The 25,851-nt window shown below is 44.1% G+C and overlaps 1 protein-coding gene and 1 pseudogene across 2 annotated transcripts in view, besides 1 other annotated feature; one reads left to right on the top strand and one right to left on the bottom strand.

Annotated features, from left to right (window-relative positions):
- The window catches only part of RAB3B (RAB3B, member RAS oncogene family), an 82,745-nt gene that overhangs the window by 15,339 nt on the left and 41,555 nt on the right, over positions 1-25,851 (top strand). The window lies entirely within an intron of this gene.
- On the bottom strand, positions 1,827-1,952 carry RNA5SP48 (RNA, 5S ribosomal pseudogene 48; annotated as a pseudogene).
- Positions 22,318-22,377: an enhancer, noted in NCBI's record as "active region_1029". NCBI's record gives its function as "activates an Ori minimal core promoter by ATAC-STARR-seq in GM12878 lymphoblastoid cells {active_cell/tissue: GM12878}" and the evidence as "EXISTENCE:reporter gene assay evidence [ECO:0000049][PMID:35858748]".

Below are 25,851 nucleotides of genomic sequence, written 5' to 3'. Positions count from 1 at the left end.
ATAAATTATGCACATATTTTAGATGATATAGCAACATGTAGATCATATAGTTTTCAAAAATGAATTAGTACCTGGATTGGAAATTTTGAAAATTTGTGATTTAAAGTATTTAAAACATGTATTATTATTATTTTATTTTATTTTTTTCGAGACAGAGTCTCACTCTGTCACCTGAGCTGGAGTGCAGTGGCACTATCTTGGCTCACTGCAATTTCCACCTCTTGGGTTCAATCGATTCTGTTGCTTCAGCCCCCCAAGTAGCTTCAATTATAGGCGTGTGCCACCACGCCTGGCTAATTTTTGTATTTTTAGTAAAGATGGGTTTTCACCATGTTCACCAGGCTGATCTTGAACTCCTGACCTCAGGTGATCCACCCGTGTTGGTTTCCCAAAGTGCTGGGATTACAGGCGTGAGCCACCACGCCCAGCCAAAACGTATGTTATTTATTATCTTTCTATTCTGCGTGTTAAATGTACATTAATACATTATGCATATATCTTATTGGGGCAGTCTGTATGTAGTACTTTTCTTTTTACAAATTATTTCCCATATACTATCTCACAATTAACACTATGAAGTAGGTACTACTTTAATACACTCCTGTTTTGCAGGATAAGAAACTCAGAGATTAGTTAACTTGCCTTAGGTCAACAACACTGCTATAAAGTGGGATTTCAACAAGATCTTCTGATTCAAAAGTATGTGCTCTTTTCTCTACACTGTGCATCTGAGGTATTATAGAGTTCATATTTCCCTTCATGATAATGTCAAATATTATATAGGGATAAAAGTTCATTTTGTTCATTTGCTCTCTATTAAAGGCATTGAGGAGTCAGAGATCATTAGAAATAGAAGAAGCTATACGGGTCGTCTAGTTCACTGATTCCCAGACCCATGGCATCAGCATCACCTTGGAATTTGTTAGAAATGCAAATTTTCAGGCCCACCTCAGAACTATTGAGTCAGAAACTCTGGTGGGTGAGTGACAACCATCTGTGCTATAACAAATTTTCCAGGTGGTTTTGTGGCTGGCTAACATTGTAGAACCACTTAGTTTAACTAGCTTGAGGTGAAAGTCAACATGCATTTACTAAAAGCACCTATTAGGTGCCAGGTGCTTTCACTTGTGTTATTTGATATCATCCTTACAGTTCCATGCACAGGGGGATGTGAGAGCACAGAATATTTGGGGCATGGTGAGCAATACAGTAAAACTGGATCAAGGTTGTGAAAGAGCAGAGAGTGGGTGCTGAGAGAAATTTGCTGGAGAGGCTATAGGTGGCAGATTGGGGGTCAAAGAGATCTTCCACAGCAAACAGAAAGTTCTTGTCATCGGTCAGAGGATTCATGCTTGATGATTCCTTAGGGAACTGAAGAAATTATTAGAGCTTACTTTTAATCTTTGAACATAAGATATTTTTTACTGATATTTACTATGTGGATTGACAGAAGTGTCTTTGTTTGACCCCCATATCAGATGGTCAGATAGCCTACACTCAAAAAATCTTGAGATAGGAGGAGGCATTGTGCCCTTCTGAGGGGTTGACAGTGGACTGACTCACTTCTTTGTTTATGTTCAGCCAATTGTGAGCTTTTGTGGTTTTCTTGTGCCTGGGTAAGTGGATTTATTGATTACATGGTCTAGTTTTAACTAAATGAAACCTCATAATGGATATGTGGCTTTTAAAGAGTCCTATAAAGAAACCTCTGATTGAAGACTATGCTAGAAGATTATAGTGAATCCAAGTGAGCATAAAGAAAATGGCTGAACTGGTGTTTTTCCAACTCCCAACACAAGTTCATTGTCAGCCACGTTTCGAGGTAAAATCAATGATAATCTAATTAGATACGACATAGTCAATCTCCCATCCAAGTACTAACCAGGCCCAACCCCTCTTAGCTTCCGAGATCAGATGAGATCGGGCGCGTTCAGGGTGGTATAGCCATAGATGACATGGTCAATCTCATTGCTTTTGCTGAAGGAAAATTAGCAAAGGGTTTTTATGTGTGTGTATGTGCTTTTATGCAGCAAAAATAAAGTTTTCTGGACTATTCATGAATACATTAGATTTTAAACATTTAAATATTGTTTATTTTAATTTTATATATTTTAATATCTTGTGTATAGAAGTAGACATATAGATATATAATCTAAAGAATACACATATACTGTGTGTGCTGTACCTACATTTTTCTTACTTAAAGGGATGTAAGTTGGAGACCACCACCATAGGCACTGGGGAGCCATAGAAGGGTTTAAACAAGTTAGATTTGCATTTTAGAAAAATTCCTGGCTTCAGTTTGAAGGGTGGATGGAAATGAGGCAAAGAAACCAGGGTTTTGGATCCAAACTCATCAAATTGTATACATTAAATAAGTGAATTTTTTTGTGTATCAATTATACCTCATAAAGGCTATCTAAAAATTAATAAACAAATATAGTAGTGACCAGCTATAAAAGAAAGGAAGCAAGCAAGCAAGCAAGGACTTGGGTAAATTATATGGGGCTGAACTAAGTGTATTATTCTGCTCTGGCTGCCATAACAAAATACAATTGAAATTAATTTTCTCACAGTCTGGAGACTGGAAGTCTAAGATCAAGGTGCCAGTAGGGTTGATGTCTGATGAGAGCTCTCCCCTCGGGCTGCCTTCCCACTCTGTGTTCTTGTGGCCTTTCCTTGGTGCATGGGCATGGGGGAGAGATAGTGCAAACTCTTTGGTGTCTCTTCTTATAATGATATGAATTCTGTTGGATCAGGAACTCACTCTTATGACATCATTTAACTTCGATTACTTCCTTTGAGGCCTCATCTCCAAATACAAGCACACTGAGGGATGAGCAACACTCCAACTCAAAAAAAAAAAAAAAAAGAAAAAAGAAAAAAGCATAGTGTATACTGTATAGGATTAGGTACTATCTAGGGCTTCAACATACACATTTTGGGAGGACATAGACATTCAGTCCATAACGCTAAGAGTGACAAAATGACATAAGGGATGGAAATGAAGAGAGAGATTTGGAACTAGAATTTACAGAATTTGATGATCAATTGCTGTCCCCTCTTATCCTTGGTTTCACTTTCCAAGATTTCAGTTACCTGGGGCCCTCTAGATCTGAACATACTAAACAGAAAATTCTAGAAATAAGCTAATAAATTTTAAATTGCACACTGCTTTTTTTTCTTTGAGATAGAGTCTCGCTCGGTTGCCCAGGCTGGAGTGCAATGGCATGAGCTCAGCTCACTGCAACCTCCACCTCCCGGGTTCAAGCAATTCTTCTGCTTCTGGAGCAGCTGAGATTACAGGCGTACACCACCACGCCTGGCTAATTTTTGTATTTTTAGTAGAGATGGGGTTTCACCATGTTGGCCAGGCTTGTCTTGAACTTCTGACCTCAAGTGATCCACCTACCTCGGCCTCCCGAAGCTCTGGGATTACAGGCGTGACCCACCGTGCCTGGCCTAAATTGCACACTGTTTTGAGTAGCATGATGAAATATTGCACTGTCTTGCTCTGTCCTGCCCAGGGCGTGAATGATCCCTTTATCCAGCATATCCGTGCTGTATTTGCTATCTGCCCATTAGCCACTCAGTAGCCATCGTGGTTATGAAATTGAAAAAACATAGTGTGGTCTGGGTGCAGTGGCCCACGCCTGTAATCCGGCACTTTGGGAGGCTGAGGTGGGAGGATCATGAGGTCAGGAGTTCGAGACTAGCCTGGCCAACATAGTGAAACCCCACCTTTACTAAAAATACAAAAAATTAGCTGGGCGTGGTGGCAGGCTCCTGTAATCCCAGATACTCAGGAGGGTGATGCAGTAGAATTGCTTGAACCTGGGAGGCAGAGGTTTCAGTGAGCCAAGATTGCGCCATTGCACTCCAGCCTAGGCGACAGAGCGAGACTCCATCTCAAAAAAAAAAAAAAGAAAAGAAAAAAGAAAAAGCATAGTGTATACTGTATAGGATTAGGTACTATTTGAGGTTTCAGGCATCCACTGAGGGTCTTGGAACTTATCCCCCAAGGATAGGGGGAGACTGCTTTCATTGTAAAGGGAAAGGGGGAACATTTATGTGTGTTTATACATATCACTTCTGTACACAAAAGTTTTGTGATTTTTTTTTTTTTGGTTTTGTGAGCTTTGATAAATCACTTCATTTTTATGACTAGTTAATGTCTTCAACTATTAAAGCCTCATAGGTTTGCTGGTGGTGAGGGGGCCTAAATGTGATAACATAATACTGTGTCTGGGGAATGCAATAAATATTGGGTTCCTTCCTTTCTCTACCTTTGGGTCCACATGGAAGGGGTCACTGGGTTGCTTTCTTTCTTTTTTTTTTTTTTTTTTTTTTTGAGACGGAGTCTCGCTCTGTCACCCAGGCTGGAGTGCAGTGGCACGATCTCAGCTGACTGGAAGTTCTGCCTCCTGGGTTCACGCCATTCTCCTGCCTCAGTCTCCCGAGTAGCTGGGGCTACAGGTCCCAGCCACCAAGCCCAGCTAATTTTTTTTTTTTGTATTTTTAGTAGAGACGGGGTTTCACCGTGTTAGCCAGGGTGGTCTTGTTCTCCTGACCTCATGATCTGCCCGCCTCGGCCTCCCAAAGTGCTGGGATTATAGGTGTGAGCCACCGTGCCCAGCCACTGGGTTGCTTTCTGAAGTTTTCCATCTGTGGTTCCAGTGTAGGAACAGCATTTAGTGACTCACTAGCACAGTATGAAGTGTTCAGTTAAATTCCTCCAGCCTATTTGATCTCTCTTAGGGGATTCCAGACACAAGAAGAGGAGGTTATGAGCATTGCTGAGCAGGGCCACCCACAATAGGAATTTCTGTCATCTCTGGGGGATGAGGGTCTTGGGAGTGCCTTATTGCCTGGAGCCCCTCACCACAAAGGTCCCTGAGAGCTCCCTTTGTTTCCTGAGAAGTTAATGATTGTGGATCAGAGAAGAAAGTCTTACTGGGGAGGTAGGGATAGGAGAGAAGCCTCATTATTAGGGAGCGAGAGCATGCACAGGTGTGAGAGGAGACTTGGTAACTCCACAGCAACGGATCCAACTAGAGGCCACTTATTGCTGGGTGCTGGTTGCCAAGCAACCCCTGGAGACCTTGTGGGAATAGAAGAGTGGAGGGGGCTTCCACCACCTCTATGTGGGGCCCATTGCAGAGGCTGTCTGGTGCTGATCAAGAGAACAATCCAGAGGATTGAGCTCACCTAGGACTCTGGGTCCTGGATTCTAGTTTTTGTTTTTTTGTTTGTTTGTTTGTTTGTTTTTTGTTTTTTGGGTTTTTTTTTTTTGAGATAGGGTCTAACTCTGTTTCCCAGGCTGGAGTACAGTGGTGCGATCTCAGGTCACTGGAACCTCTGCCTCCTGGCTTCAGGTGATCCTCCCACCTCAGCCTCCCTAGTAGCTGGAACTACAGGTGTGCCTGGCTATGCCATGCCTGAATAAATTTTGTATTTCTTGTAGAGACTGAGTGCAACCAGCACCCAGCAGTAAGTGGCCTCTAGTTGGATCTATTGCTGTGTTGGTGATGATTTAAAAGCTCTTAGTGTAACTAAAGACATACATAGATAATGTGCATAAAGCACTAACATAGTGCATGGCACAGAGTAAACACTCAACAAATCGTAGTTTTTATTAAGGTTCTAGGGAGATTGATAAATAGCATTCCTTTTCTTCCCCACCTAAACCCATTGAGAAATAGATGCAGGAGTCAGAGAGATGGGGCGTAATGGAAAAAAAAAAGCCTTATTACTCATTAAAGCGAGGATGAAGCCATGGCTAAAGTCTTCCGGCAAGTGCAGCTTGCTCATACTTTACTCTGGAGTCAGAAAGACACACAAACCCAGTCATAGGCCAACGTGGGCCGCTGGCTATAATTAGCCCGTACACCATTCACTCAAAGTCAAAGTCCATGTGGCCCAGATTTACTAATATTTAAGGCCTAAAGCATTCCACTCAGGTCTGTAGGAGAAGCCTCTGTCTCCATGGACAGCCTTCCTCATAGACAGAGAAAGGAGGGTCCCTCCTCCAACAGCTCTTTTTTAAATTATCATTTTATTCATGTATTTAATGTTGAGACAGGGTGTCCGAGGCTGGAGTGCAGTGGTATGCTCATGGTTTACTGCAGCCTCGACCTCCTGGGCTTAAGCAATCCTCCCACCTTAGCCTCACCAGTAGCTGGGACTATAGGTGTGTGCCACACCATGCCTGGCTAAGTTTTGTATTTTTTGTAGAGACAGGGTTTTGTCATGTTCCCCAGGCTGGTCTCAAACTCCTGAGCTCAAGTGATCTGCCTGCCTAGGCCTTTCAAAAGTGCTGGGATTACAGGTGTGAGCCACTGCTCCTGCCCAATAGCTCTTACTATAATTAAAGACATAGATAAGAGTGACCATGGGTTCCAAAGGAGGGTTAGACAGAATGACAAACAATGGGACAAACAAGAGGAGTCTTAAGAGATTTCCTGGGAATCTGAATTCCACAGTGATGTGAGTAACTCCTCATATAAACAGGAACTGAGAACAAGGTCAAGGTGAGATGGGGTGCTGGGCAGTCAGCAAGGTTCGCTTATCAGTCATCTGCCTTATGTCCACACAGCAGCCTCCATGAAATGTTAGGTCACAACATGGCTTTGGAGTCATTTATAAATATTAAAGCTAGTGAGTATTAAATCTGGGAATGTCAAGGATCTGTATCTTAGGGCCAGTAATATAAGAATAGCTGAAATGTAAGGGAGTGTAGGAATGTGGGAAAGGTAATCATACCAGAAACTTGGAAGAAGGAGGATTGTGGCTCTTCAGCAGCCATTTAACAAATATTTACTGTGCCAGATTCTGGGGATAGAGATATTAATATAAATGTGACATTCCCTGCTCTCCAGGAATTAATGAGACTGAAATTATGAGCCCAATAAATGAATACCATAGCTCTCTTGTTCTGATTAGGGGAAGAAGAATAGGATATCAAGAGACTTTTCCCTAGAATTTAAGAATGTACAGTCATGGATTATTATATGAGATTGGGTAGCTGTCTAATAGGCTTCTCTATTAGTTTCCTGTTGCTGCACTAAAATTACTACAAACTTAGTGGCTTAAGACAACACAAACTTACTATCTCACAGTTCTGGAGGTCGGAAGTCTAAGGTGGGTCTCACTGGGTTAAAATCAATTTGTTGGCTGGTTTCAGTCTGTGTTCTCTCTGGAGGGCCTCATCTGGGGGGCATCTTTAATTTGCCTTTTCCAGCTTCCAGAGGCTGCCTACATCCCTTTGCTTGGGGCCCCTTCTTCCATCCATCTTCAAAGCTGCAGTGGAACATCTTCCAACCTCTCTGAACCTCCTCCTTGTCTCTTATAAAAACACTTGTGATTATAATGGGCCCACCTAGGCATTCCAGGTCAATCCTGCATTTTCAAGATCCTTAATTTAATCCCATTTGCAAAAATCCCTTTTGCCATGTAAGGTAACATATTCACAGATTTTAGGGATTATATATTTGGGAGACTATTATTCTGACTACTACAGCATCTGTTAGTAACATATAAAAGACCTGGTTGGGCGTGGTGGCTCATGCCTATAATCCTAGCACTTTGGGAGGCCAAGGCAGGAGGATCACTTGAGCTCAGGAGTGAGACCAGCAACATACTGAGACCTTGTCTCTACAAAAAATTTAAAAATAAGCTGTGTGTGTGGTGGCATGTGCCTGTAGTCCCAGCTACTCATGAGGCTGAGGCCAGAGGATCACTTGAGCCTGGGAGGTCAAGGCTGCCTTGAGCTATAACCACACCACTGCACTCCAGCCTGGGTGACAGAGCAAGATCCTATCTCAAAAAAAAAAAAAAAAAAGAAAAAGAAAAGAAAAGAAAAAGGAAAATACCTGATATAAATTCCCTCATCCTTTAAGACTCTGAAGCAGGTAATGTCCATGTTTTAAGTTCACACTGCTGATTAAGATTTCCTGTTACCTTGTTAGGTGTCAACAAGCCTGTGAATTTAGAGCACATCACATCTCAGTCTCTCATTTTATTTAATTTAATTAATTAATTTATTTTTTGAGGTGGAGTTTTGCTTTTGTTGCCCAGGCTGGAGTGCCATGGCATAATCTTGGCTCACTGCAACCTCCACTTCCTGGGTTCAAGCGATTCTCCTGCCTCAGCCTCCCGAATAGCTGGGATTACAGGCATGTACCACCATGCCTGGCTGATTTTTCTATTTTTAGTAGAGACAGGTTTTCACCACGTTGGCCAGGCTGGTTTCAAACTCCTGACCTCAGTTGATCCTCCTGCCTCGGCCTCCCAAAGTGCTGGGATTACGGGCGTGAGCCACTGTGCCCAGCCTCAGTCTTTCATTTTAGACAGGAGGAGGCTGAGGCTCAGAGTGAGATAGGGACTTTACTGAGGGCTCATGGTGATGTCCCTTGACCCATTCCAGTGCTCTTCCTGCCACCTTCAGGAAGGTGCAATCTCGTCTTGAGTGTAAGCTGGAGACCTGTGGAGAGATCAGCGGGCAGCACAGAAGAGTCTGGAGGCTGAACAGGGAAACTGGGGCTCTGACAAGTCTCTGTGGCTCCAGGAATGTGAAGACAGTTCCTGAGTACACCATCCTGTGCTCAGCTCTTATGATAATCAGAATTGATTTTTCTAGGCAGCAAGTTTCCTGGTGTGGCTGCAGAAACATGCTGACACTTTTATCTCCCCAAAGCCTGTAGGAACCAGCTGCTGAGGAAGTAAGTTTAATCTGATTTTAAAAATCACAACAAAGACCATGGGGAGTCAAATCAGGCTTAGTTGGCCTCTGTAATTTTCAAATGAATTAACAAGCCATCCTGATTGACTATTGAAGGGGTCTCCAAGACACACTATTTAGGGCCACAACCCCCTTTCCTTCCATCCAAACTGGCATGGGAGAAAAAGAAATAATCTACAAGCCATTTGTGTATTCATTAATCCATTCAATAAACATGTGTCATGTACATATTATATGCGAGGCACTGTCATGAGAGGGCAAAGAAACAGCTACAATGTGATAAAAGCGATGTAATAAAGGGATGAAGAAAGTGTTGTAAGAACAGCTACCTCCACCTGGGAAAATCATTGCAGGTCTCACAAAGGAGGGGACATTTGAGCAGGGTCTTGACAAATGAGTCTGATTTTTTTCAGGTTAATGTAGAGTAAGAGCTTTACAGGTGGAAGAAATGACATTTGCAAGAGCATAATTGCTTTCAAGGACCCTTTGTGTGCCTAGCTGTGCTAGGCTCTGCAGCGATTGGTGAGACAACATCCCTGCCTCTTAGGGGCACTCAGTGAAGCAGAGGAGAAGGGGGATATACACCAGGCACGCACACATTGAAATGCATTGCAGACATTGAGCAGTGGAATGACATGCTCTGTCTTACATTGTTTTAATAAATTTTTAAATCTTTGGGTAATTTTAGGTTTATAGAAAAGTTGCAGTGATAGTGTAGAGTTCCCATGTGTCCTTTGCCCAGTTGCCCTAATGTTAACATTTTATATAACCATGATACATTTGTCAAAACTAAGAAATTGACATTGGTACAATACGATTAAACTACCGTCTTTATTTGAATTTCACTAGTTTTTTTTCCACAAATATTCTATTACCATTGCAGGATCCAATCCAAGATACCGTATTGCATTTAATAATATTTTTTCAATTGACATATACCTTATATACCATAAAATTCACCTTTTTTTTTTTTTTGAGATGGAGCCTTGCTCTGTTGCCCAGGCTGGAGTGCAGTGGTACATTCTCGGCTCACTGCAACCTCCGCTTCCCGGGTTCAAGCGATTCTCCTGCCTCAGCCTCCCGAGTAGCTGGGATTACACGTGCCCCCCACCGCACCCGGCTAATTTTTGTACTTTTAGTAGAGACGGGGTTTTGCCATGTTGGCCAGGCTGGTCTCGAACTCCTGACCTCGTGATCCACCCACCTCAGCCTCCTAAAGTGCTTGGATTACAGGCGTAAGCCACCGGGCCAGCCAAAATTCACCCTTTTAAACAGTATAGTTCAGTGATTTTTAGTATATTTACAGACTTATGCAACTATCATCACTAATTCCAGAACATTTTAACATTTTAGTGACTTACATCTTTCTTTCTTTCTTTTTTTCGTTTCTTTTTTTTTTTTTGAGACAGAATTTCACTCTGTCACCCAGGTTGGAAGTGCAGTGGCGCAATCTCGGCTCACTGCAACCTCTGCCTCCCAGGTTCAAGTAATTCTCGTTCCTCAGCCACCTGAGTGGCTGGGATTACAAGTGTGTGCCACCATGCTAATTTTTGTATTTTTAGTAGAGACCATGTTGGCCAGGCTGGTCTTGAACTCCTGGTCTTAAGTAATCCACCAGCCTTGGCCTCCCAAAGTGTTGGGATTACAGGCGTGAGCTACTGCGCCTGGCCAGGTGACTTACATCTTAACACTTAACAGGATTTCTCTGAGGCAGAGTTATGCCTGTTTCAAGAATAAATTATGAAGAGCAAAGTGCAGAAGCAGGGAGAACCAGTTAGGATTTGTAACAATTGAGGCTGGGAATGATGGTGGCTTGAACTAGGGAGGTAGTAGCGGTAGTAGTGAGAGTAGTCAGATTTTGCATGTATGTTGAAAATACTGAATATTGAATTAGATGTGGAGAGAGAAAGAAGGAGAGAAGTCAAGGATGTTGCTGAGGGTTTGGGCTGAGCGACTAGAAGTTTGGAGATTCCTCTAACTGAGATGGGGAAGACTGCAGGAAGAACAGGGTTTAGAGAGAGAGAGTTGGGGATTCAGTTTGGTTATGCTAAGTTGGAGATACCCGTTAGATAACCAAGTAGAGATATGGAATAAGCAGTTGGATAAATGAGTCTGCATGTATATGTTAGCAAGTAGTATTTTAAATGATGAGACCAAATAAGATTAACAAGGGAAAGAGTGAAGGCAGGAAGAAGAAAAGGTTCACAGACTGAGCCCGGAGACATTCCAACACCAAGGTGTTGGGAAGATGAGGGAGAATCGGGAAAGGAGACTGAAAAAGAGCAACTGAAATGAGAATGTGTGGTGTCCTGGCAGCCAAGTGAAGATAGTTTTTCAGAGGAAGGAGAGATCAACTGTGTCAAATATGGCTGCTAGGTTATGAATATGGGAACTGAGGATTGACTGCTGTATTTAGCAACATAGAGTACATTGATAACCTTGATACAAGTTGTTTTGGTGGAGTAGGAGGGGTGAAAGCCTGGTAAAAATGGCAGAAGAGAAATTGGAGACACCAAGTATGACACAGCACTTTGAAGGATGTTTGCTCTAAAGAAAAGGAGACAATTGGGGTGGTAGCTGAAGGTGAATGGGGAAGTGAATCAGAAGAGGTTTTTGTTTTTTTAAGATTTGAGAAGTAGCAGCACGTTCGTATGGTGGTAGAACAATTGAATAGAGATCAACAAAGCAAGCCAACAAAGAAACAAAAATACAAAGCTGATGATTTGGAAACAAAGGAGAACTGCTGGGACAATATCCTTGAACTGGGGAGAGGGGATAGGATTACATGCAGAGGGTGAGTCCTTGGTAGGAGCACAGACTGTGCACCTACATTCCCAGGGGAGAAAGCAGAGGGTTTGGGCACAGGTGCAGCTTGGGGTTCCATGTGCTGGTTCGAGTTCTCTTAAGTACAATTTTCTGATGAAGCAAGGTCATCAGTGGAGAGTGAAGATGAGGGAGGAAGTTTGGAGAGTCGAAGAGAGAGGAGAATGTCATTTAGGAAGGTGGGAGAGTGAATAGACTGTGGAAATGTAATTTGATTGCTGATTAGCATTAAGACTTCATTTGAAATTAGTGATCATAAATTTAAATTCATCAGCTCATGAATTTGAAGCATGGTTGTGTGTTTTTCTCCAGCCATGTTTTGCTCTGAGGATAAAGGCATAGAATAGGCAAAGAGTTGACTTTAAGTAAAGTGTGGTTTTGCTGAGTATAACAAAGCAAGAGGGCCTGGGGAGTCAGGGGCATGTGAAGGGAGGCTGTTGTCATGATTGACCTTAGAATTCAAGTTGGGCCAAGAGGGAGGTAACAACACAAGGGATGAAGGACAGTGAAAAGGTGGTAGGGAAAGAAGACTGTTGATGCTGGGAATCTACAAGGAGTGAGCTGGAAAGAGCATAGTGGTCTGAGTATGAGAGGCTTGAAATTACTATTGGTAATGATAAGGTCCAGGATATGACTGTGAGAGTGAGTTACTGAGGTGGGGTCAGAGATCAATATCACTGGAGGAGAAGCATTCAAGGAAATGAGAGTCCAAGGTGATGGAAGCCTCATCTATGTGGATATTGAAATCACCAAGAATTATGGAGAGAGTAACAGTGAAGCAGAAGCTGTTCACTGGCCAGTAGAGGGATAAGTGGGTGGTATAATCTCATGATATTGAAAGCTGGAGGTGTTTTGTTTTGTTTTTTTGAAGGAGGGAAAGAGAGTGATATGAAAGCAGGGGTGAGAAGCAACAACATCTATCCCACCTCCAGCCCGCTGATTCAAGGGTGATGAGAGAGGAAGTGAGCAACAATTTAGAGGCTTTAGGAGAAGCCATGTCCTCAGGGAGAGCCGGGCTTTGATTACAGCAAGGAGGTAAAAGAAACGTTCGGATGAGAGGCTGAGCAAAAATAGATTTTTCTGATGACTGACTGAATTTCAGAAGACTCAGAGAAAGGTTTCAGTGGGGAGGGGAGGAGACAGTGTTAGAAAAGATGATGATGTACTGAGCTATATGGCAATTGGAGTCCAGTGATCAGGGATGGCTTTGGAGACATGGGCTTCTTGCCATAATTGACATGAACAGAGGGATAAAGAGAATACAAAACAAATTATAAAGCAGACAGGTGGTCCCAGGACAGACAGTGGTTGTGTGGCGTGTGTGGGAGGATCCCTGCTTCCTTTTGATCCCTGCATTTAGAGGCCCAGAGTCTGGCAAAAGTGCCATTCTTATTCTGAATGCCTGGCATCCCTCTTGACTTCACACATCAATAATTGTGGCAATGAACAGCAGCTTTCATTTAGACCTTCACCTGTAAATGGGACTAATACTATCTCCCACAAAGCTGATGTGAGCTGACAGTGGCACGGGCTTTCATGCCAGCACTGTGCTCAGTGCTTTTATGAACTGATTTCATCCTGACACTAACCCTGTGAACTAGGTGCTGTTATTATCCCCATTTTACAGAGAAGTAAACTGAGGTCCAGAGGAGTTAGATGGCTGTCTCAAGTTCACACAAATAGTAAGTGGCAGAGTCCAGATTTGAATCAGGGTCTATCTGGCTTCAGTCTGGGTGCAGTGGTTCATGCCTGTAATCCCAGCACTTTGGGAGGCCAAGGCAAGTGGATCATTTGAGGTCAGGTGTTTGAGACCGGCCTTGCCAACATGGTGAAACCCTGTCTCTACTAAAAATACAAAAATTTAGCGGGGCTTGGTGGCTGACACCTGTAGTCCCAGCCACTTGGGAGGCTGAGGCAGGAGAATCACTTAAGTTCAGGAGGCGGAGGTTGCAGTGAGCCGAGATCGCCCCACTTCACTCCAGCCTGGGTGACAGAGCGAGACTGTCTCAAAAAAAATAAAAATAAAAATAAAGGTCTGACTGTCTTCAAAACCCATGTATGGAGTTTTGAACCCCTTGTTATATCTTCACATAGGTAAAGCACTCTGTAAATGGTGAAATTGTTAATAATTACAATTTTTGGGCAGCAATTACATACTTTACAGGTGCTTTACTTGCAGTTTTTCCCTTATAATTATCACAGTGATGGTGCCCAGAACAGATGAGGAAACTGAGACTCAGAGAAGTTAAGGGACTTGACCAAATCTTACCAAGCCTGGAAAATAGCACATCTGGGACTCAAAATTAGGGATGTTTGCCACCAGAGTGTTCTTTTCACACCAAACTGCCTTCCCCACTCTTTCCACTGCCCTGTGGTACCCCAGGGACCTCACAGGTGGTTGAGAGTCAACGTCACAGCTAAAAATCAGAACCTCCAAACAAACACTCTCAGAAACGGAGGTGTTATCTGTTGCAAACTATCACCTTTTAGTTACCAGCTCCCCTCCTTTTCTACCAGCCCTCCTCTCTCTCTGTCCCACTACAACTTCACAGGGGAGTCTAATGGGCATCCAAGATTGAGCAACACCAGTGTATAGGTATGTAATTAAGTGACTTGGCACTGAATGTAGTGGTCTCTGAAGAAGCTGCTGCATGTTCTGGGCATAGGGTGAAAGGAGTGGTTGGGGGCTTAATTACTTCAGCTGTGGTGTAGGTGGAATGAACACATGGTACCAGCAGTGTGATAAGTAATGTCTCTGAACCTCTGTTTCCTCAGCTGTAAAATAGAAGAATATTAATGCCTACTTCTTAGTGTTGTAGTAAAGATTGAATGAGATCATATAGGGAAAGGATCTAGCATGGAGCCTGTAACATATTAGGTGCTAAATAAACTTACCCAAAGTCATACAGTGAAGGGGAGAGCCAGGATTAGCTCATGAGGTTTCTATTATGCTGTACTACTGTGACTGATCTTAGGGTTACCACCACTTTAAGATTGCGAGCCACAGGACTTACAAGGCGGAGTCATCAACAGAGAAATTAGTTGTGAGTTGTGGCCCTTTTACTCCCATTTTCAATGGATGGAGAGAGCAGCAGTGCTCTGCCCCTGAAGACGTCCAGTTGCCATCTAAGGCTGGAGATTCTCCTAGCCTGCTTGGAACCTGCCTGATGTGTTGCTAAGGACAGGGGTGGGATGGGGGAGGCCATTCAACTGAGGATTTATAATCCCTTCCTTCTGCAGAATCCTCCTTCCCCCACACCGTTGCCCAACACCATTGCCCCACACCTTGGGTTGCCAGGCGACAGCTGGAAACTCTTATCCTGTCTGTGCTCCTGTGCTTCTCACCTTCCTCTGTGAAGTCTGTCAGCTCTGTGCTAATGACGCAGGGGCTCTGTGCTGAGGCCCAGATGGCTGGGAGGGCAGGTCCCAGGGGATACAGTGCCCCCTCTCTTGAGTGCCCCACTACTGCCCCCAGCTCAAAACTAAGGGTCATCCTTTACTCCTCTCTGCTCTTGTCATATTCATCTGATTGTTCATGAGAAATATCCATTCTATTTCCCCAATTTCTCTTGAACGCATCCCCTGGTCAGTTCTGTTCCATAAACATTTATTGAGAGCAGACTGTGAGCCTAGCTCTCTCCTTTGCCCTTTCCTACCTTAGATTCCTGTTCTCCCCCTTGGACTGCAGCTGCCCGGTGGCACTCCCTGCCCTCAGGCTTGCCCTCCATAATCGCTGTCACTCCAGTGCCTAAAATCCAGGGGGGCTCTCCTGCATCCCCCTCAACACATTCTTGGCCCTTTCTGCCTCCCCAACCCCATCTTCACCCTTCAGGCAGTCCATGCACCACCCACGTGTACTCTAAACCCCCAACCCAACCACAGGATGCAGTTTTAAAAAAACAAAACCTTTATTTTTTAGAACAGTTTCAGATTTACAGAATTGCAAAGATAGTATGGAGAGTTCCCATTTACCCGACACCTGGTTTTCCCTGTTATTACCATCGTACATTAGTATGGTACATTTGTTATAATTAACCAATATCGATATACTATTATTAGCTAACATCCCTAGTTTATTCCACTTTCCTTAGATTTTACCTACTACTCCTTTTCTGTCCCAGGATCCCATCTAGAACACAACTGATCTGAATTGTCGTGTCTCCTTAGGCTCTTCTGGGCTGGGAGTCGGGATGCACTTTTTCACTCCTTGCCTTGCCCAGGTTGTTTCCTCCTCTCTAGAGATTCCCCCTCTACCCACATTTCCTTTTTGTTTCTCTTCCTTTTTTTGGAATAGGGTCTTGCTTTGTCAGCCAGGCTGGAGTGCAGTGGTGTGAACATGGCTCACTGCAGCCTCGACCTCCTGGGCTCAAGCCGTCCTCCCACCACAGCCTCCAGAGTGGATGGGACCCTAGGTATGTGCCACCACACCCGGCTAATTTTTTTATAGAGACAGGGTCTCAGTTTTTTGCACAGGCTGCCTTGAACTCCTGGGCTCAAGTGATCCTCCTGCCGAGGCCTCCTAAAGTGCTGAGATTACAGGCATGAGCCACTGCACCTGGCCTCCTCCCCCATTTTCTATCAGCAAACTCCCATTTGACTTTGAAGACTCAGTTCAAGTATCATCTCTTCTGGGAAACCTTTGATGACCCACCTCCCCGCAACTCAGTGGCAGTTAAGGACCCTCCTTAACTTTCCATACTAACCAGCTGTATTGCATGTGTCTGGAACTCACCTGTCTTCCTCCCAGACTGCATGCTCCCTGAGGGCAGGGACCGGGTCTGACTCGGGTCTACAGCTCCAGCACCAGGCACAGGGCCTTGCCAATAGTAAGGGTTTAACAAAGACTGGCAAAATGAAAGTGAGTGCTCAAGCTAAGGCTGTATACCTCTCAAAGTTGAGGCTATCTCTTCTCTCTGCACTTGCAGTGCCTGATCTCTCTCTTGGCCTCAGATCAAGTTTTGTGCCACCCCCACCCCTATCAGTTCTGCCCCTCAGTGGCTGGGAGGTCTGAGGCTCCTCTTGGGTTAGCCTCTCTAGAATGAGTAGGCCACTTTCTTTTCTTTTTTTTTTTTTTGAGACTGAGTTTTTGCTCTTGTCGCCCAGGCTGGAGTGCAATGGCGCAATCTCGGCTCACCGCAACCTCCGCCTCCCGGGTTCAAGTGATTCTCCTGCCTCAGCCTCCCGAGTAACTGGGATTACAGGCATGCGCCTCCACGCCCGGCTAATGTTGTATTTTTAGTAGAGACAGGGTTTCTCCATGTTGGTCAGGCTGGTCTCGAACTCCTGACCTCAGGTGATCTGCCCACCTCGGCCTCCCAAAGTGCTAGGATTACAGGCATGAGCCACCGCGCCCGGCCGAGTATGCCACTTTCTTACCGGCTTTCCTCTCAGCACCACTGTGGACACCAGTCCAGTCTGATCATCTGATACATATGAGATCTCATTTGATCACAAGAGGAGGTCTTGTCATCCTCATTATACACTTGAGGAAACTGAGGCCCAGAGGGTAAAGGGTTGTACTTTATTAAAGTTGACAAATGGACTAAGTGGGCCCTGAATGCAGGCTTTTGGGACTCATTCCCTTGCCTGGGATCTTCCTACTGGACCCTACTTCTGCATATAAAAAGTGACACCTAACCTCAGTCAACAATTAAATGCTGTACTAGAGCCATCCCAGGACATCCCAGCCTCCTCTGTGCCTGGCTGAACCCCTCAGGTTCTTCAGCTAGAACATGGGGAGGAAGAGATAAGGAAGGTAAGAGAGAAGAGAAAGGGAAGATAGAGAAAATTGGTGGCAATTCTGAGGTTGGACCCTGTGTTCAGGCTGCCACGAGGTGCCATTTTGTGAGGAGAGAATATGTCCTCTCAGGATACCGGCCTCCCCCACCGGTGTGTTGCCGTGTCAACTGATTGAGCCCAAAGGCTGGCTTGGAAATTTACCACCAACGGAGGCTTAATTAGCCCTTTAATTTCCTTCCAGCGGAAGTTTGCTCAGGTGGTTCCTAGCCCTGCTTTCTTGGGCTCCTCCCTCCTCTCACTTTCCTACAGCTCTAGCTCACCAGGAATCTGAGGCCCATTCTGGGTGTTGACACCAGGGGGAAGAGCAGCAGATTACTGAGGGCAAACAGTAAATTAAATGAACACGACTGTTTATACAGAACTTTACCAACACACTGTCACAACACTTATCTTACTTTATCCTCCCAACAATACCAAGAAAAGGATATTATTATGAAACCTGTTTTGCAGTTAACAGATCTGCAGCTCAGAAAGTCAAAGACAGCAACTGGTCCAAGGTCACATGCCAAGAAGTGGCAAAGCTAGAATTTGCTTGACCCCAAAATCCATACTCTTTCTGCTGCCCTTCACACTGTCTGTTCATTAAGTGCTTACAGTGTTTAATGAAATGACACATAAGTGCTGAAGGAACACTAAAATTAAGGGGGGAGGATGAGAATGAGGGTAATTTTAAGAGGCTTCTTGGAGGATGTGATAAGGACAGAAGTGGGTGCCAAAGTGCAGGGAATATTGTTAAAATATATTTTTGTCTTGTTCCCATAGGGATTTAAAGTGGCAGGAAAAGATCGACAGAGTGAGGGCCTGCACCGTTTTTTTCTTCCTCCTGGTTTGGTCCTGACTCTAGCCTAAGTTTTCCACCAGTTGTGCTGCTACAGATTATCTCCCAGCAGTTCATTTGATCACTCAAGAACAAACAGACAAAACCATGAAAAGAGTTTATATAGACTTTACATAAAAACCACTAGAAGATTTTATAGTCTGGTGGAAAGACAAGCACGTTGGCAATTCATATACACAGTTTCATTGGAGAGAGGATAGAAGAGAAGTTAGGAAGGCTGTGAAGTTTGACTTTCTGGCTCGGGTCTTTTACCAGCTGTATGGCTTCAGGCAAGGTGTTTAATCTCTGAATCTCATTACTTTATCTGTAAAATAAGTATGAAAATGGGACCTCGCTCAGAAAGTTGTAAGAATTAGCACAGTGCCTGGCACAGCCCGTCTAAACAAATGGCAGCCAGTCATTATTTCTGCCTGTGGGTATGGGAGGAAATGCGAGTCATACAGGAGGAAGCATTTGAGCTGAATTGGAATGGTAATTAGCGACTGCCTTGGCAGGGAAGGGGAAAAGGCTGATCCAGGCAGAGGGTGCAGCATGAGCAAAGCACTGAGACTTAGAGGAACACAATGTTTGGGGCCTATGGAGTTGTCCAGGTTGGTCAGAACCTGAGGAGAAAAGAATGGAGAGGGGTGGCAAGAGCTGAAGGCAGTGAAATTGTTAGGTTAGAAAACCAGGGATAAGTTTAGCATCCTAGCAGGCAGTATAACTTAGGGGTTAAACTCCCAGCTCTGACATTTGCTAACCTGGGCAAGTACTTAACCTCCCTGTGCCTCTCAGTTTATTTGTCTTACTCCAAAGAGCTGGTTATGAAGACTGATGAAGTAGTGCATGAAAAGTGCTTGTCACAGTGCTTGACACTTAGTAAGTACTCAATTCGTGTTAACAATTATTATTATTTGATTATAACAATTATTACTATTTATCCTGACTCCTTAGAGCTAGAAGGGGCCTTAAAAAAGTAATCTAGTCTAATATCCCTATTTAAAGAGGAGAATCCAAGGCGCAGGGTGCACAGTATTCATAAGCCCACAAAGCAAGTTAGTGGTAGGATTAAACCATACCCAGGCCTCCTGCCTCCCAGCCTTACAGCTGTGTGGCTCCCTTGCCATTCATTGTCAGGCTGCCTCTGACAGGCTCTTCCTCGCTCCTCAGATGTTTGTCCCCTGTCCCTTGTAAATAAATTTCAAGGCATTTGCTTTGTGGAGATGAGTGTTGATCCTATTTTTAGAACACTCTGCCACCTGTATGCAAATGATCCTCAGGGGACTCGTCTGCTATGGTGACTTGGGCCAACTCCTGAAAGAAAGCAGCTATGAGACCAGAGGGAAAACAGCCCAGGGTAGGATGGGGATCCTGGACTCCTGATTTCTCTATCTAGTTAAGTCTCTGAACTCCTCTTGCCTGCTCTGTATATGTTAACTCCTTGTGTCTCCATTTGGAAATGAGTTCAGAAATAGGTCCCTGGGGCCAGGCGCAGTGGCTTATGCCTGTAATTCTAGCACTCTGGGAGGCTGAGGCTGGCGGATCACTTGAGGTCGGGAGTTTGAGACCAGCCTGGCCAACATGGTAAAACCCTGTCTCTACTAAAAACATAAACATTAGCTGGGTAGCTGGGTGTGGTGACACATACCTGTAATCGCAGCTACTCAGGAGGCTCAGGCAGGAGAATCGCTTGAACCCGGGAGGCAGAGATTGCAGTGAGCCAAGATTGCGCCACTGCACTCCAGCCTGGGAGACAGAGGGAGACTCTGTCTAAGAAAAAAAAGAGTAAGTAAGAGTAAGTCCCTGGGCCAGGTGCCAAGCCAAGGTTTTGGCTTTGGAATGTCATGTCAGAGGGTGCTGTAGAACCCAGGGCTGTGGGCATTCACATCGGCTATGGTGTTGGCTCAGCTTCTGGAGAAATATTTATTGTTTTCAGGAAAATAGAAGTAATTGGGGGATTAGAGGGAGAAAAATCACCTTAATATACAACCCAATGATTCTGCCCTGCAAAACGGGAGAGAACTGGAACTCATGAGATGACAAGAAGGAGAGGGAGGGCAAGGCCTCAAACTTCGCTCATAAAGGTCAACGCCCCCTGGCCTTTGGCAGAAGCAGCAGTGACCTGATCCTCAGTGGCCTTACTATTTAGCACACACTAACTGAATGTCTTCCGGGTGATAGGCCCTATGTTGGACACACTAAACCCTTCAGTGGCTTTCTGTTCTCGTCAGGACGACATCCAAGCACCTTGACCTGGCATTCAAGACCTCCGTGATCTAGCTACAGCCTCACTTCCTACTTCCTCTCCTGTCTACTATTTTAAGTACTATGTTTCCAGGAATCTAAGATGCTATCAATTCTAAGATACATCCTTTTTTAAAGATATTAAAATGTGAAAAAGTGGACATCTGAGAATCTATGAAATATGGTATTTTACAAACCATTGAAAATGGAACTGCTTGCTTTCTCCCCAGATGCTGTGCTGTTTCAGGCTTCTCTATTTTTTTAAGCTATTTTATTATGGAAAATTTCAAACACACACTCGAGTAGGGAGAATAAGTAGTACATGAACTCTGTCCTCCAGCTACAACAGTGATCCACTCATGGTTGGTTCACATGCTTTTCCTATACTTCCTTCTCCCTGGACTGGTAATAATAATAAGAATAGCAACTGCCAGTGCTTACTAAGGATTTAGTTTTTTTCTTAAATGTATAAGTTAATATATGCTTATTTAAAACATATTTTGAAATCACAGCCAAGCATAAAGAAGAAAATGTTACTGACATTTGGGTTGGTGGTTGGTTCCTTTCCAGTTTCTTCTCTATGAATTTTTAACATAGTTGAGGTCAGATTATATATTCAATTTTATTAAACATAGCATTATAACATAAGCGTAGCTAACATTGTTAGAAAATCTTTATATGTTTTTGATGAGTTCATTGTACTTTATACAAAAGATGAACCATATCCATTCATTCATTCATCCAGCAATATTTGTTGCACTTACCACGTGTCAGGCACTCTCAACAGTGGTAAAAGAGTGAGGCCCATTCTCTGGCCTCTCAAAGCTCAGTTTCCCCCCATTGTTTGACATTCAACTACTTTCCAATTTGGAGCTGTTATCAATAATGTTGCAGTGATTATCCCTGTGTGTAAAACTTTTCCTAGGTTTCAGATGATTTCCTTTAGACAGATTCTCGGTAGTGAAATTCCTATTTTACTTTACCTTTGTGAACACTGAATGTTATCTTAATTTTAGTTTAGCTAATTCAGTAGGTTAAAAAAGTATCTCATAATTTCAATTGCATTTCTTTGATTATTTATCGAATAAATCATCTGTATATTTATTAACCATTAGGTATTTTTTAGTTTTTTGTTTTTAAGATGGAGTCTTGCTGTGTCATCCAGGCTGGAGTGCAGTGGCACGACCTTGGCTCACTGCAACCTCCACCTCCCAGCTTCAAGTGATTCTCCTACCTCAGCCTCCCAAGAAGCTGGGACTACAGGCGTGCGCCACTGCACTCAGCTAATTTTTGTATTTTTAGTAGAGACGTGTTAGTATGTTGGTCAGGCTGGTCTCGAACTCCTGAACTCAGATGATCTGCCCGCCTTGGCCTCCCAAAGTGCTGGGATTACAGGAGCAAGCCACCGTGCCTGGCCTACCATTAGTTTTTGTGAATTGTCTTTTGACAAGAGTCTTACTTTTATCACCTGCAATTTCTCAGCACAAGGCCTGACTCTGTTCATTTCCTTTTGCTTGCTGTGATCTGGGGATGTATTAAGTATAATCATGTTTCATGCTTCTTTTTTTCCTCCTGGCTCTCTTCCACCTCACTTCTCTCCCCACATTTTCCTGTCTCAAAGGGGAGTTGGGTGAGTCACATAAAGGGTACAGCAGGTGGCATATGAAGTAAATTCCCCAGAGAGACTTCTCAGAATGCTGTGAATGGTGCTGATGTCAATTTGGAGGCAAAAAGAGTGATGAGGAAATGGATTGGCAACTCTGATGCTAAATTTGTCCATGCCAAAGCACTGGGATATTATGAATGATGGTTCATTCTGCAGGCATCTTTAGAATACTGCTATATGCCCAGATGCGTGTGGGGTACTCATAAGGGCTTAATAGCTGGAGAAGACACAAATGAAATAGGTCATAATTAATAGTCAACCATATACATGTTGGATGGTTTCAGGCTAAGTGGAGATGCCCAGCAGACAGTTGGAAATTTCCATCTGAAACTTGAAAGTGAGGGCCCAGGGGAGGATAAGGAGCCAGTGTAGGAGACACAGCAGGAACCGGCAGAGCTGAAGGGAGAGAACAGGGGAAGAGAAACTTCACAGAAGCTGAGGAAAGAGGGAGTTTCCAGAAAAGGGGTGTGTTTGGGGGTGATGTCATGTTTTTAATTTAGGGCAACAAAAAGGTTATATTACCCATCCTTCTTTTATTTTCATTTTTCTTCATTTTTATCTTTTTTCTTCATTTATTCATTCCTTTGTTCATTCCTTTATTCATTTATTCATTCCTTTGTTCATTCAGTATTTATGGAGTACCTTCCAGGTGCCAAGTATTGCATTAGACACTGAGGGTACAGAAACAATAAGGCACAGCCCCTCCTCCAGTCTAAATGAGAGATATAGGTGAGAGTGGAAGCAAATTCCTGATATAGGTGCTATGATCTATTCATTAAAAATATTTATTGAATACCTAAGATATGCCACATACATTGAGGAACAATGCAAGGAAGCCCTATGACCTTCAGCTAATCCACTTGAAGTAAAAAGTAGTGCCTTTATCTTGGTGGAAATCATGGAAATCAATAGCTATATCCATGAGTGTTTTTGAGTTTAGAGTATTTGAGGGCTTTGTGTGAGAGACCAATGCCAAAAATAAGAATACAGGGCATTCATCTCTCTGGGGTCCTGTTTCCCATCTGTGAAATGGGTATGTACACCTCTCATAGGATTCACATGTGTCTAACTTTCCCACTAGACTGTGAGTGTTCTGAGGATAGGGATCACACATGGCACAGGCTAAGATCAGTGAATATATGTGGAATTAATTACTCTCATAAGGGCTTTCTGTCTTTAATGGCCTGTGCTCTGCTGTCACTAAAATAAAGGTCCAAGTACATTCTGTGGAAGGCCAGAAGCAATGGTGATGAATTTAGACAGGGTCCTGAAGGACTTCCCAAAAAAGGTGCACTTTGACCTGGACCTCAAAGATTAGATAGGATTACAGAGGGCAGGGAGGCGCTTTAGAATCCTTAATCCTGGATTCCAGTGACTTCTTTTCTACCCTCTGCCCTCAAGGACCTAACCAGTTGCTACCTAAGTGTTCTTGGACTCCAATTTACTTATTTATTTTTTTGAGACATTGTCTTGCTCTGTCACCCAGGCTGGAGTGCAGTGGCATGTCTATGGCTCACTGCAGCCCCCATCTCCTAGGCTCAAGTGATTCTTCCATCTCAGGCTCCTGAGTAGCTGAGGGACCACAGGTGTAGGCCACCATGCCCAGCTAATTTTTTGATTTTTTGTAGAAACACAGTCTCACTTTGTTGCCCAGGCTGGTCTCCAACTCCAGGGCTCAAGCAATTCTCCCACCTCAGCTGGGATTACAGGCATGAGTGACTGCACCTGGCTGACTCCATTTTTATTACCTGTAAATCAGTAGTGACAATGACACATGGTGGGCTAGAAAGAGCACTGGATGTAGAGTCAGAATATTTGAATTTGAGTCCTGGTTGAGCCTAAAAATAAAGAGCTATGTGGCCTTGGGAAAGTCACTGAGTGTCTAGGTCTCAGTTTTTCTATCTGTAAAAGAAAGGAGTCAGACTGGATGAACTTTAAGATTGATTTCTTCTGGTTCTAAAATGTCTGCATTGGGGACAAGGGCTGCAAAACTGCCCATTGGGTACTATGCTCATTACCTGGGTAATGGGATCAGTCATACCCCAAACCTCAGCATCATGCAGTATACCCATGTAACAAACCTATACATTTACCTCCTGAACCTAAAACAAAAGTTGAAATTGTTAAAAAAAAAAAAAAAAGTCTGCATCACAGAATCATTGTCAGGCTCCTGTAAGATGATGTAATAAAAGTACTTGTAAACTGTAGGGTGCTCTATAATGTGGTCTATATGGCTGAGGACGGATAGCTATAATATTAAGCTAGCTCCAAAGGACCATTTTTACCACTTTCAGTCCTCTGTGTCTCCCAAGCTCTATTGAACTGCTCTTTCCTTCCTAAAGAGCTCTCCCCTTCCAGTTTCCTTCCATTCCCATGGGACATAATGTCTCAGCTCTCAGCTGCTGCAGAAAAACAAAGCACTTGGAGCTGAGCAGCTGTGGGTCGGAGGGTAGCGCATGGGGGAAAGCTAGCTTGAAAGTTCTCATTACCTGCCTCCCTGGTGCTCATCATCCCCATCCACTAATCTTGCCTGGATTGAAGACGGGAAGAGAGAGGAGTCTGGCTGGAGGAATGCACAGGCAACAGGGCACGACCCAGGGATGAAGACCCCAGAGATAACCTCTCACTTTTTGTGTGACCTCTCAAGTTGTCACTGCTCTGGGCCTCCCTTTGTCTATGACATGGAAAGTGCCCAGAAAAAGGAGGTGATATGTATGAGCTCACAGACCCTATTCCAACCAATCCTGAAGTTCTAAATGAGCTTTCCCTTTTCAGCACAGTCAGCCCTTGAGTTTCTTTTGCTAGCATTCTTTTAAGTTCCTAGTATGTGGCAGGTGCTATAGTTGAGGGCCTAATAGTTAGCTAAGTATGACTTGATTTTAGGGTGCTCATAGCCTGAAAGAGGAGACAGAAAAACAAACTGGTAACTATAACAAATGTGATGTGTACAGTGATATTGATAGCAGCAGGAGGCAGACAAATGCCTAGGCAGATAGGGACAGGTCCCTGATGAAACCCCACCTTCAAGCCAAAAACAGCCTGGACTGCTGCTGGTTCTGGATGAAACCCATGACCCAGAGTGAGAACTTGTGTTCCTGTTTGCCCACCCTTTCCTGGTTGGTTCTTTTTGAATAATGCTTTTTAACCAATTAAATGTTGCCTTTTCCAGTAGTACTCATGGCCCACCCCTCACCTGTCCTGTGCCTAAAAATACCCCAGACTCAGCCACACTGGGAGAGATGACTTGACTTTGGGTGAGAGACCCCACATTCCTGATCCCTCTCTACTGAGAGCTGTTTCGTCACTCAATAAAATTCTCCACCCTCATCACCCTACAGTTGTCAATGTGACCTCATTCTTCTTGGATGTGGGACAAGAGCTTAGGACCCTCTGAATGCAAGTACCCAAAAGGCTGTGGCACTGTGGCCCCCTGCCCTCCACTGGTGGAAGGCAGCCACCCCGTGCGACAGAAGCAGTGGTGGGGCCAAGCCAGTCCCGGAGCTGTGGGCTAGAGTGGAGCAAGGAGCTGACTGAGCTGTTAGCATGCCACTGTCTGTTGGGCTGCTGCTGATGGGGCTGCAAGAGCTAATTAGCACACTGTAACACCCCTCTGGAGCTTTGGGGTTGCAGGCACCCCTGCCTGGGCACTGCCACCTTCCCCTTGGGGTGACATGCCTGGTCAAGCCACAAGCCCCTCACAAAGCCTGCTCTCATGTCAGCACTCGGAATGGCTGGCTGGACCCTGCACTTGCTCACTCACAC

Source organism: Homo sapiens, chromosome 1 (genome assembly GCF_000001405.40).
Source record: "Homo sapiens chromosome 1, GRCh38.p14 Primary Assembly".
Lineage (NCBI taxonomy): Eukaryota > Metazoa > Chordata > Mammalia > Primates > Hominidae > Homo > Homo sapiens.
This window is presented reverse-complemented; position numbering and strand designations above follow the sequence as displayed.